Here is a 13,031-nt window from a genome sequence, read left to right as displayed (position 1 = left end):
TGTATTTAAGTAATATTATACCAAGTAGAATATAATCTGTACTTTCTCTTAATCATGGAAAGTACAAATAAAGATATAGACTTGTTTCCATACGTCACTCTCTGTGTGTGTGTGTGCGTGTGTGTGTGTGTGTGTGTGTGTGTGTGTGCTGTATAAATCTGACTTACCTAAATTCTGACATTTGTAGCTGCCTTTTCAAATGCTGGAAGCACAGATACATCTTGAATGATGTAAAAGCACATTCGTATTTTTAGCAATAAATCTTTGACTGTAGAATATCATTAAATAAATTGAAAAGCAGACCAATATTAACATCGTGATTTATATGCTACTTGCTGCTAGAGACTTGACATAGAATACTAATTATGAAAATGGTATAGTGCTAGATTTCTTCCTGAATTATTACACACATTATACTTTGCAGGGAGCAGGTTTGACTTAAATGTAAATTACCAGGCCTTTTTTTTTTTTTGCTCTTTCAAAGGGCTATTTGTTGTATTACCCAGTGCTTTTCTGTCCCTCATAGTTGAAATAATTAAGATCATTTGCAGGGCCTGGTTTGCTCATTTTGCTTAGTTACATTGCTGCTATGGTCCATTATGTCTACAGGGGAGCACCATTATTTAATCTGAACATCTGGAATCCATCATGTGTAGTGAAGGACAAGATGTATCCTCATTTTTAAGCCAACTCCATGATAAAATTGATGGATGGGACCAATGTGTACAGGTGAAGAAGATTGATACTTAAGATCTGTATGTTGTGATAGGAAGATCATAAGAGGACTTTTATTCTGCTTCATTTTTTTTTACTTTATTTCATTATATTGTATTTTATTTTATTTATGGCACAGCAATCAGAATCTGATTGAAGATAAACTCATCCTATTTGGATCAGAGCATTAGAAGAAAGAAAGAACTGACACTTCTCAACCTTCTCTAGTTGAAGACTTCTCTTTGCTATAACTACTTGAAGAGTTCAGCAGAAAAATTTTACTGAAGAATCCCTGATCCTCCTTTAAGTAGCTGTAGAGAATATTCACTAAGTGTAATGGGACACGTCTCTCTCATGCCCACTTCTTTTCTCTTATCCCTGCAAGAAAATGAAGTTTTGTTGGAGTCAGAGGTTTATTTTAGTTTATTTTAATCAGAAACGTGTATGAAATCCAAAGCACATGATCTTCATTTTTAATAACGTAAACCATCCCCATGTTTATGTGCTTTCTCTGGTCCTCAACCTTTTTTTTTCTTTTTAATTTTAAGAACATCTGTCCCCACTGCAACTTCACTTTCATCAGGAAATCTAATTACAGAGATAGAAAAGAGTATAGTAGGTGAAGCAAAAGACAGCAGCTCCACCTCTTAATACTGAATACTTAGATGACTGCCAGATGAATAGCTGGATCCTTTTGTGGCTAACTAACTCACCTGGTGTAGAGAAAGACAGTTGATAGATCAAAAAAGTATACAGATAACAGAGAGCAAGTGATATGGATATGAAAGACATTAGGGAGCATACAAATGCAGTTTGGCCAGGATTTATTTCTAGTTATGGACTGATGAGGAGACATGGGGAAAAATTGTCAAATTAAAAAAAATCTTTTTGGCAAATTTAAACTTTGCCTCTATCCTTTTTCTCTTAATCTGCTACCCAGATATGCACTTCAAATAGGAATGTGGGCCTACTGGGGCATGAAATAGTTGAGAGCTATTCAACAATGAGGAGAATGAGAGAAATCTATTTAGAAGGACATTTTAGAATTTAAGCCAGTTGAACCTTAATAGTCACAGATAATTTAACATGACCCCTAAACCATTAGGGGGGTTTTTACTACAAGGACTTGGCTCTGTATTAACAATGTCATCCTTCTTAGAAATTGATAACTATAGAAGTTATCCTATGTGGAGTAAGATAAGAATGACTGCTCTTCATGTTTACAAGAGATTAGAGTGGATAAGAACCAGGTGAAACAGGAATCCCAAGGGATCTCCTTCCTTCTCAGAGTCATAGCCATTCCAGGGAATCTGCACATTTTCTGGCTTTCCCATTTCTATCAGATGGTTACTTAGGAACAAATGAAAATCAGCAAAAGTGCCATGATAATTATCACAAATTCGTATGAAATAATGAGGCAGTTGAATGCATTTTTTCTGTCTTATCTCTGTTTGTCAATGAGCTAAACAGTGTGTTCAGGTCCCTCTGAATACTTGGAGGAGCAAGATTCTTTAGCCTTGTCTCACTGATTCCCAAAGTTTATCTAAGTCTTTCCAGAGGAGGACCTCTATTGTCAACACTTGATAGCCAAACCCTTCCTTTGTTTTTTTCCTTCTATACACTACTTGTTAATCAACTTGCACAAAACCAATTTCTGGTTCAACTTTGTCCTGAGCTGCTAACTGGCTATGACTTTATTTTACAGGTGCAGTAACTTTGTTAGCTGTTATTTTGAGGAGCTCCAGCCATGGGCTCATTTGATAGATTTAATTGCCAACATCTTGAACAAACCCCTTGATTTTAAAATTTTAATTTAGCATGTTTAACATGAAAGAGGATTGCCGAATAAGTGTCCCATTTGATTTACTCTATAAGTAATACAGCTGTTTGTCTTTATTTGAAAAATAAAGGTAGACACTTAGAAATGAAAGATGAAAGCTTGGAATGTGACCTGTAAGTCCAGAAATCACAGACCAGAAAGCAAGAAAGGAACATGAACAGCACATGTCAAGTATCCAGGAATTTCTAAGTATAATGCAGAACTTGGGGCATGAGAAATAATCTCTCTCTCTCTGTGCGTGTGTGTGTGTGTGTTTTCTTTATCTGAGCATGTTTTTTTATATACTGCCTTTTCTGGTAACTTCATTAGGTCTGTATAATTATAGTTTGCTTCAACCTTAGTCTGCATCAGTATTCATTATTATCTATTTGGTGCATTGTAGCAGCATAAATATAACTAAATTACTAGGGTCAAACCATAATGGGAGCTGTTGTGATGGTAATTAGAGCAGAAATATAGTCCTTTTTTGGTAAAACTTGCAGAATTGTAGCATGAGGTGTGTTCTTATAGGGTACAATTAAAGCCAGGTTGTGGGTTCAAGGTGGTAAAATGATGGATAATGAAGGTACACCATTAATCACAGTTCCAAAAGATGCTCTGTATCAATTCTTTTCTCTCTGAAAGGTAGCTCAGAGGTTGATGCTAAGACAAAAACCAACAGAGGGCTTAGAGGTAAGATGCCAACTTCCGTGCCTTCACTAATTGTCACTAGAAAGCTGAAACTGTATCGAACTCTTTAAAAGGAAAAAAAGAAACTAGTAGAAAGCATCTCAGTGTGGTTATTGAAATCATTAAATTTGAACTTAGTGGAGCAATGCTTTAATTCTATGTGTCTTTGCCATGTTGGACTGAGTCTCTCACATAACATCTTTAGAATTTAGAATGTGCTATAACTTGGAGCGGAATCACCCTTATTGTCTTTACACACAGCCCATAATCCTGAAAAGCAGAAACAGAATTCCACTCTTAACCCCCTCAGTTTGCAGAATGTCTAAGTGTAGTGACTCTAGACTCAATGTGAGGTATGTGGAAATGCTTCAGAAGAGAACAAGGCCTCGGCTGGGCGCAGTGGCTCACGCCTGTAATCCCAGCACTTTGGGAGGCTGAGGCGGGCGGATCATGAGGTCAGGAGATCAAGACCAGCTTGGCCAACATGGTGAAACCCCATCTCTACTAAAAATACAAAAAAAATTACCTGGGCATGGTGGTGCATGTCTGTAGTCCCAGCTACTCGGGAGGCTGGGGCAGGAGAATTGCTTGAACCCAGGAAGCAGAGGCTACATACAGTGAGCTGAGATCGTGCCACTGCACTCCAGCCTGGGCAACAGAGCAGGACTCCGTCTCAAAAACAAAACCTAAAACAAACAAAAAAAGAGAACAAGGCCTCAAAATTAACAAATATCTGCTGATTAACTTTTTTCACTAGCAGCAAAAAAATTGGAATAATTCTCAACCAGTGAAATATCTCATTAAAAACCCAATTAAAAAGTCTGTGTACCCAAAATGTAAGAAAGGCTTGCTCTTTAAGCACACAATTGAAGCCTTTGATGTCTACCTAGGATTGCTCATTTGATCTCATTTGATGTACTCCTGGAAACTTAGTAAGTATGTAGGCATGCGGCATGTTCAAGGTCGTAGGCAACCTTTTCCAAACTAAGTTCTTTGCCCTTCATGGCTTTGTGGAATTTAAAAAATCAATTATATTTTATACTCTGAAATAAAAGTTTCCAATTTGGAAAGATGTTTAAAGTCAACGGTTGTTTCTCCAATAACTAACACAGAGCTTGGCATACAGTAGGCACCTTATAAATTTCTCTTTGAGAGAATGAATAAATGCCTGGGTAAAGCTAATTGATACAAAAGGGCTCAATAAACTTGTGAATATTAAATGAAAAAATGGAAAAACAATTGGCCTCTAATAACCACACAGAAAACTGAGTACATGTTTTCTGCTCTTTCTGATTTTCCAAAACACACAGTTAAGAAGTTTCTCATGTAGCCTGACACATAAAGGTTTAGATGGTGAGTTATTTATTGGATATACTATTCATTATATAATCATTTGTGTATCTTTTGACATTAATTGTTCAACTTTGTATGATTTCATAATCAGTTATAGATTATTTGAGCCCTCCTTTTTTAAGGCTACTTTCAAATTGTATAGTTAATTTTATAGTTTTTTATAAAGCTACTCAAGTGATTCATTATTATAGATAACTTTGATTATACGTTCAAATTTTAAAAACTGATTAATAAGCCAACATTATGGCAGATTGAATAATTTCTTAGCAAATATATGCTTTTTTTTCCTTATGCCCATGCTTGACTTTCAGCTCAGCTGTTGGTCCATGGATGTTCGTAGATGTGACTTAAACAGATGCTTGAATTGTGCTATACATTTAGGCTTGCTCTCCCGCTCTGTCTTCTGCCATGAGAAGCCACTGACCGGGATAAGGAAGATGAGAAATAGTCATGGCAGATCTATACCCAGCCTATAGCTCTGAGCAAAACTCTGAGTCAAACTCGGCCTGCAATTTGCAGACTCCCTGCTGGCCTGAAAAAATTCGTGTTCATTGTGGAAAGCCAATTTTCATTGTGGAAAGCCAATGAAAAGAAAATTCGTGTTCATTGTGGAAAGCCACTAAGTTTGTCTGTTTTGTTATGTAGCATTGTTGAGAAAATAGTAGACTGATACAACTGTTTATGAATTAACACCATTTTGCTTTTAGGCACATCTTCTTTATGTAGGTACCGTAACATAGGTTCCCTTGATCTTTGCCATAATCTCATAAATCAGACACTATCATATCCCCATTTTATACATTTGAAATCTGAGGCCTCAAGAGGTGAAGAGAATTCCTAGACAAGACTTGACACCAACTTGTACATCTCCAAATCCCATGTTACACGCTGCTTCATCCATTTAAATGTAGCTTAGTTAGCCTGCCTCTCTGGTACCTAGTAAGTCCTCAATAAACACTAATTTGCTTACCTTTCCTTCTTCTTTCTTAAATTGTATGTATCAAGTTAAATGGAAATGTTTGATTAAAATAAGCTAACCAAGGCCTTGTGTAGAATAGAAGGAGGTATTGTGCATGTTTTCTCCTGATAAGATGCTTCTAATATAGGAATGGATGCAAAAATAAACTAGTATAACAATAAGAAGCTACCTGTCACATATTTAACAAATAGATTGAGATAGTAATTAAAGCATTGTCTCAATACAGACATAATTGAAAAGCTGAGTACTTCAGTTAATAGTCACTTTAGAAGGTGAGAAAAAAAGAGATCTATGCAGTAATAAACAAAGTAGACTTAATTCATTAGTACTATTCAATCTCTCCTTAAACTGAAGATTAAGAGCTGATTGTAAGTATTTTATAGTCAGCATACTTATACTGTAATAGTACTACAGAAACAGTCTCTCCAAATGCATATTTAAAGTTGTGTAGCTCCTCCTTACATGCATATTTGAAGTCAAATTATGATTTTTGGAAAAGAAGATCTATCCCTAAAAGACATTTCTCATTCACTATGACTGTCTGGAATACCCTCCCCTTCCTTGTATGCTTGGTACAGTAAATTCCTTTATATTTAACTTAAGGACCACCTCTTTTCCTATGCCTTTTCTGATCTTCCCATATAGATGGTCTTTCTCTCTCCTACACTTCAGTAACAAAAATGGCAAAATTTTAATAGATTTTGACATTGTTTTATTTATGTCATCTTCCTATCTTCTTCCTCTACTCAGCTCTTTGAAGGCAGGTGTTTTGACCTTCCTTGTTAGCAAATTTAGTGTTTGACATACAGTAGGCACTGCCAAAACATAGAATAAATAAATAGACACAGTTAAGTCTTAAGAACTCAGTCTTTAGGAAGAGAGAAAAACAGAAATGTAATCATTTATAAAGAGAATTGAGAGAACTAATTCTTGTTGCCAAGAGGCCAGGACTCAATTAGGCTATTGAATTATGATCAGTGGGGAAGAGAACTGAAAACAGAAAAAGAAAGAGAGGTTCAATGTGTTCAATGGAAAGACAAGAAAGGATAATAGAGATAGAATATTTTCTTTTAAGTAGTTGAAATATTTCTTTTCTTTCCTTGAATCCTTGAGGCACTCTGTCAGCTGGCATTAAATATTTATCAGAGAATTTTTTATGCACATAAATAGGCTACATGTATGACTAATGTAATGGTGGCCTTACATAATCAAGTTAATAAAATTAAATGTATTCACTTAAAAAATCAATTCAGAACATTTTCTTCATTCCATCAACTTCAATGCTTATGTTCTTCCCCATTGTCCCATTGCCTTCTGCTGTGAGGGAGAGGGCGAAAATGAAATGATTATTGCAAGCCTAGGCTCTCACAAGATAAATATAATTCGGACATTACTTCAGCTTACTACTGGAAATGAACCCTGGACAAAATTCCCTTTTATCTCCCTCTCATCCACCAGACATACTAAACATAAAACTTTAGAGTAATGATAACACATTCTGAACTAAATTTAAGTGTTTTGAGTCTCAAAATAACCGACTTTGGGTCTTACACAAGCTACTGATTCCAAGTATGTAACTGACATATGAAATGAGAGTTACACAGTGACACCAGTTGTTTCCAAAGGCTTAGTACACTTGCTGCAGTCTTGCGATGCAGTTTAGAATGAGGTGAGAGGAACTGAACATTGAGCTCTTTCTCTTAGTAGCTGTGTCCCAACATCTTCCTGCTAAAATAAATGGGGCTAATAAAAGCCATCTTAAATGGAGCTAATAAAACTTATCTATACAATTGAGGTACTAAATGAGAAAATGTAGATACTGGAGGCAATGAAAGCCTTCGATAAATATTAATGTCATCTATCTATCTATCTATCTATCATCTATATCTTCCATCTACCTATCAATCATCTATGTATCTATCTGAGATTTTGGAGTGGTAACCAACATTAATTCCCTTGACTGAGTAAATTCACTTGACTGAGGCTTTCAATGTGCCTTCTGTGAAGAAATTACAGTAAAGCAGTATAGAATCTTAAGTTGGATATTCCGGGTTTGAACATGGGTTTTGTGACCTTACCCAAATGTATTTAATTTTGCTGGCCTTAACTTTTTTTAAGATGAAAGTAATAATAGTTTTTACCTCTTTAAATTATTATGAGGATTACATGATCTAATACCTGTTGCAGCACTTAGAATAATAATTGACAAATAGCGAAGAGTAATAAATATTAGTTATTATTTCCACAGTTCTATAAAGAGTAACTCAGTTTTGACTTTCATTTTATCTCTTTTTTTCAGATGAAAAGGGAAAAAAGAAACTGCGTATAAATAGTACTAGAGTAAGTTAAAAAGAACTATCTTATAATGTGCTTAAAATTATGGAAAGTTTCTGAATTCTAGCCTGAAATTTAAGAACAGTTCTAAGTAATTCCTTAAATTTGTTAAGTCTTTTCAATCTTTGGGTTTTCAGATAAGACAACCAAAGGACTGACTGCAGTAAATAGAGCTTTTGAAGGCATTATCATTCTATTAACAATAAAGCTGAGAGGATAGATTTGTTTTATGATTTTCACATGATATTACTTGTCGGTGACCTGAGCTGAATTTGAACTGGCATTCTTGAAAAGAAAGATTCCCTTTACAAATCCTTTAACCTCTAATGCAGTCATTTTAATTCACAACAGGCTAGAACCTTGCATAATTGTTCTCAGCTCAATACAATCTTTAACAGCTTTTGATTTACATATTGGGCAGCTGTTTTGAATAAGAAGTTGTCCATCATGGATCCTTTTGTCATCTGTCCAAGGAATGTATTTATAAATGGTTCCAATTAGAGTAATGAAGGTTTCATGTGAAAACAATGATCAATAGCCAACCTTAAAAACAATATAAGTCAAAGACAGATGTAAACTGTGACCAGGCATAACAAAGTCAAGTTATCTATGGGGAATGTATACCATCGCTCCTGGAAAACAAATAGAAATTTTCAAGTCTTTGACTATTGGACAGATGTTGATTCCATGACACAGAAGCATTTAGATTCTGTGTTAAATAAATCATTGACCCACATATGACTGAGACTATGCAGATTAATGAGAACAACCGTGGCCAGGGAAAAGGCAGCTCAGTGAAGCCAGCTAGATCAGATCCTCACTGTGATTATGGACTGCACCCCATCAGCCTTCAGGAACAGATGTCTGTTGCTATAAGAAGGAGCCACGTTGATAGTGAAGTTTCTGTACAAACACGTTTCAGACTATGTCAGACACATCTGGTCAAGGGCTTTGTAATAGCTTTATTTATTTCTTGCCTGAACTGGAACGTCAGAAGCATGCACTCCACATTAAGCCAAGAGTTCCCTTTGTTCCACACGGCTGCCACAGCTGGAACCTTTTGTTGGATGACACAGCCAGATCTTCTGTAGAGACCATTATATTCTTTGGCGTATTTCAGTGAGTTTGCATCTTTTAATCCACCTCAGCAAGCAGTGGGGAGTTCATAAGGGCCATGCACAGAGCCTTCTCTTAAAACTGTACAGGAACACCAGCTGGGATTGCAAAATTGATAGCATCAAGGTGGCCTGCTACCAAGTTGGCCTTAGTGAGATGTGCTCTCTGCCATAGCCCTGTTTGCTTAGATCATTTAGGAAAAAAACATCAAAACAGAAGTAACTTCTCATTCTTGTGTGTTGAGGTTGCTCATAGGTTACTCTCTCCAGCCAAAAAGAAAAAAAGCCAAAGAAATTTTGTCATAGACTATAAGATCTGTGTATGATGAACAGTTTCATGAGGGTTACTATAGAAACATCTAGCCTACAAAAGTAGAAGGGACCAGTTAAAATGAAGTTCTGCCTAGATTTCTAATATAACTAAAGCTGTTTTTTTCCCTCTCCCCCTCTCTTCTGTCTCTCTCTTTTTTTCTCTCTTTAACCACATCAATTGACAGCCCAATTTCCACATATAAAATAGGAGTCATAAGTTAAAAGAAGGTGGGGGCTGAAAAACAAAAGTAGATATTCAGAAATGTGCACCTAGAAAAGTCTTTCAGACACATTGAGTTGATTTTGTTTGGCCTGATTATCAGAAGTTCAGTGCCGTTTTTAGTTTTCGGGAACACAGTCTCAAACATGAGAGTAGCTCTACTCCAGCCCCGGGGCACCCGCCCTCACTTTGCCTTTGCCACATCCTTCCTACCAACTGGCCCCCAACTCAGAATAAAAGCTGGTCTAGCCTTTCCAATTGGCAAGCCAATGACATTCACCTGCATTTCTCTTGCTAGTGATCCTCTTAACTAATGCTTAAGCTCCAATTTCTTGCCATAGTGCTTATCACAGATTGTACTCCTAAGACTGACCTCCAGATTTATCTCCTGAAGCATCCCCATCAAGAGTGTCTGATGGGGGCCAGACGCAGTGGCTCATGCCTGTAATCCCAGCACTTTGAGAGGCCAAGGCAGGCAGATCACGAGGTCAGGAGATCTAGACCACCATCCTGGCCAACATGATGAAACTCCATCTCTACTAAAAATACAAAAATTAGCTGGGCATCATGGTGCATGCCTGTAATTCCAGCTACTCGGGAGGCTGAGGCAGGAGAATCGCTTGAACCAGGAGGTTGGAGGTTGCAGTGACCTGAGATCACGCCACTGCACTCCAGCCTGGCAACACAATGAGACTTCATCTCAACAACAACAACAAAAAAAATAGTGTCTGATGGGAAGAAATTCTCCTCCAGGGTCTACTCCATCCCGAAGACATTTCTGAAATGATTGAGAAAGCCCTCAAGCATAACTTGTCATTGATGTTGCTAGGGCATTCTATTAGGAAGCAGATGCAGAAAGAGCTGTATGTAGTTAGGGGCATGCACATGTGTCTTTGCTCAATATAGGGGGTTGTATACAGTTGTTCTCCCCACACAGCATACAGGAAGTTTAAAATTAAGCTATACTTTACTTACATGGATAAAAGTCTTGATTTTTAGTTTTAACTAAGTATTTGCTGTTTTCTGTTCAAAAAGAATGCTGGGGGTTCATGTCAGTGACAGAGTGAAAAGCTAGAGCAGTAGCATCAAGATATAAACCAAGGCTCATTGTCTCTCTTTTCATATATATTACTTTTTAATAAATCTATGTTTTTCTAATTACAGAAGTAGTATAAGCTCTTTAAAAATTTAGCAAAATAATAGATGAGCACAGAACAGAGAAAGTTAAAGAAATGAATTTTATGCAAGTAAACATTATTATTTTCTTATATTTTCTTCCCATCTTTATATATATATAATTTTTAGCAAAAATAGTAACACACTACATATGCTATTTGTAACATGCTCTTATACTTACAAGTAAAGCAAAAAAATATATAATATGTCAGTTTAGTATACGTAAATCATATGTAAATGAAATGCCATAATAAAAATACATCACACATAATTTAAATATAATATGTACATGAATAAGTTAAGTTATAATATGTACATGAATAAGTTAATATGTACATGAATATATAAGAACACATCTAAGTAACACTTTTTTTACAAAAAATTTTTTATAGCTACACAACATTACACTATGTGTATCATAAATATTTTTACAATTTTTCTGTTTAACTTTTAAGCCATTTCCAAATTTTTACTATTAAGAAATAGAAAGTACAATTTAGACTAAATGTTTTAAAAATATTCATGATTAGTTATTTGAGATTAAATACTAGAAGTTGAAATTTTGACAACTTTTAGGACAATTATAGAACTTTTAATGATTGTTGTCCAAATTCAGCAAGGCTTCTAATAGAATATACCTACAGGATATCAAGGAGGTACAAGAAAAGATACAAATTTTTTAGAGGCAATACTAAAGTATACTGTCTAGGGATGCACTGTTTGAGTGCTAAAACCATAAAGAAATGCAAGGAAGTGGTTAATATAAAAGTTAGCAGAGCAGGCCAGGCGCAGTGGCTCACGCCTATAATCCCAACATTTTGGGAGGCCGAGGTGGACGGATCACTTGAGGTCAGGAGTTCGAGACCAGCCTGGCCAACATGCTGAAACCCCGATTCTACTAAAAATACAAAAAATTAGCTGGGCTTGGTAGCACATGCCTGTAGTCCCACCTACTTTGGAGGCTGAGGCAGGAGAATAACTTGAACCTGGGAGGCAGAGGTTGCAGTGAGCCAAGATTGTGCCACTGCACTCCAGCCTGGGAGACAGAGTGAGACCATCTCTAAAAAATCAAAAGTTAGCAGAGAAATGAGTATTTGAGGATGGGACACATGGAGAAGACTTCTGAGGTGAAGGGCAATGTTCTATCTTTTTACCGAGGTGAGGAATGCAAGGCTATTCACCTTCTAACAATTTGTTAATTTATTTGTTTGGGTGGCTTTTTTACATTTTATTTTATAATGCAAAATCTAAAAGTAAAAATCTAGATTTGATTCCAATTCAGCTACTGGGTATAATTAATTACAAGAGTAAATTCTGACAATCCTGTGAACCTCAGTTTTTTTTTCAAGTGTCAAATTAGACTATGCATCTTTGCATGTCTGCATCTAAATTGATTATGTTATGATATTCTATTATTTTAAGGCAAGTCACTCAGGGACAGGGGATCCCACAAGACTGTGAATACCAGGAGGTATCATTCATTAATTGGCACCATTAATTGGATCATTGGGGGCCATGTTAAAGGCTGCCTATCACAGAAATATCACAGGTTTTGGAGTCAAGTATTCGTGATTTTTATATCCTGTTCCACTATTTCCTAGCTATTTTACCTTAAGCAGACAAAATAATCTTGTTGTGTCTCAGTTTTCTCATTTATAAAATTGGGATAATATTTACCTCTTTGGAACGAATCCTACCAAATATATCTCATTTCTCTTTTTTAACAGAAGTAGCAGTCTATGTCTAGAGCTAGTGTATTTTTATTTCAACAAAGTATTCGGTGATAAATTCCTTGACATCCTTGAGGTCAAGATGAAAAATGGAAGATTTGGGATTGTCCAAGGGAACAGGGCCCTCAAGAAAGAAGGCTTCTGATGCTATTGCAAAACAATATATTCCTGTCTGTTTCAAATTCAACAAATTTATAACCTTCTTGAATAAAAGCATTAAGTAATGAAAGTATTAAGTTTATGCCTGACACAAAACTAGAAGAATAGCTAATCCTTTGGAGGACACATTCAAGATTCAAAATCATATTAACAGATATGAATGATGTGCTCAGCTAAGTAAGACATTAACTAATAAAGACAAAGTTACAGTACTCTGTTTAAGGTCAATGATACATTTACAAAAATACAGAATTGAGAAGGCCTTCTGTCATGGCTCAGATTTGTAAGATAGTTTAGCATTTCCACAATTTATCTTTACCTTTATTAGCTTGGAATTGACAATGCTAGGATCTCAGGTTAGTACTTTTTGTATCCAAAATCCATGTTCTGCCTATATCTACTATAGCTATTCCCTCTGTCTGCCTTCTAT

At 36.0% G+C, this 13,031-nt stretch overlaps 1 long non-coding RNA gene across 1 annotated transcript in view; it reads left to right on the top strand.

The window, feature by feature from the left end:
• Nucleotides 1-3,501: 3,501 nt before the first annotated feature.
• Nucleotides 3,502-13,031, top strand: part of LINC01428 (long intergenic non-protein coding RNA 1428) — a 107,736-nt gene continuing 98,206 nt past the window's right edge. Inside the window, exons 1-2 of the long non-coding RNA NR_110609.1 lie at nt 3,502-3,576; nt 7,855-7,895. This is a non-coding gene — a long non-coding RNA (long intergenic non-protein coding RNA 1428). The remainder of the gene's footprint in view (nt 3,577-7,854; nt 7,896-13,031) is intronic.

This window comes from Homo sapiens, chromosome 20 (genome assembly GCF_000001405.40).
Source record: "Homo sapiens chromosome 20, GRCh38.p14 Primary Assembly".
Lineage (NCBI taxonomy): Eukaryota > Metazoa > Chordata > Mammalia > Primates > Hominidae > Homo > Homo sapiens.
This window is presented reverse-complemented; position numbering and strand designations above follow the sequence as displayed.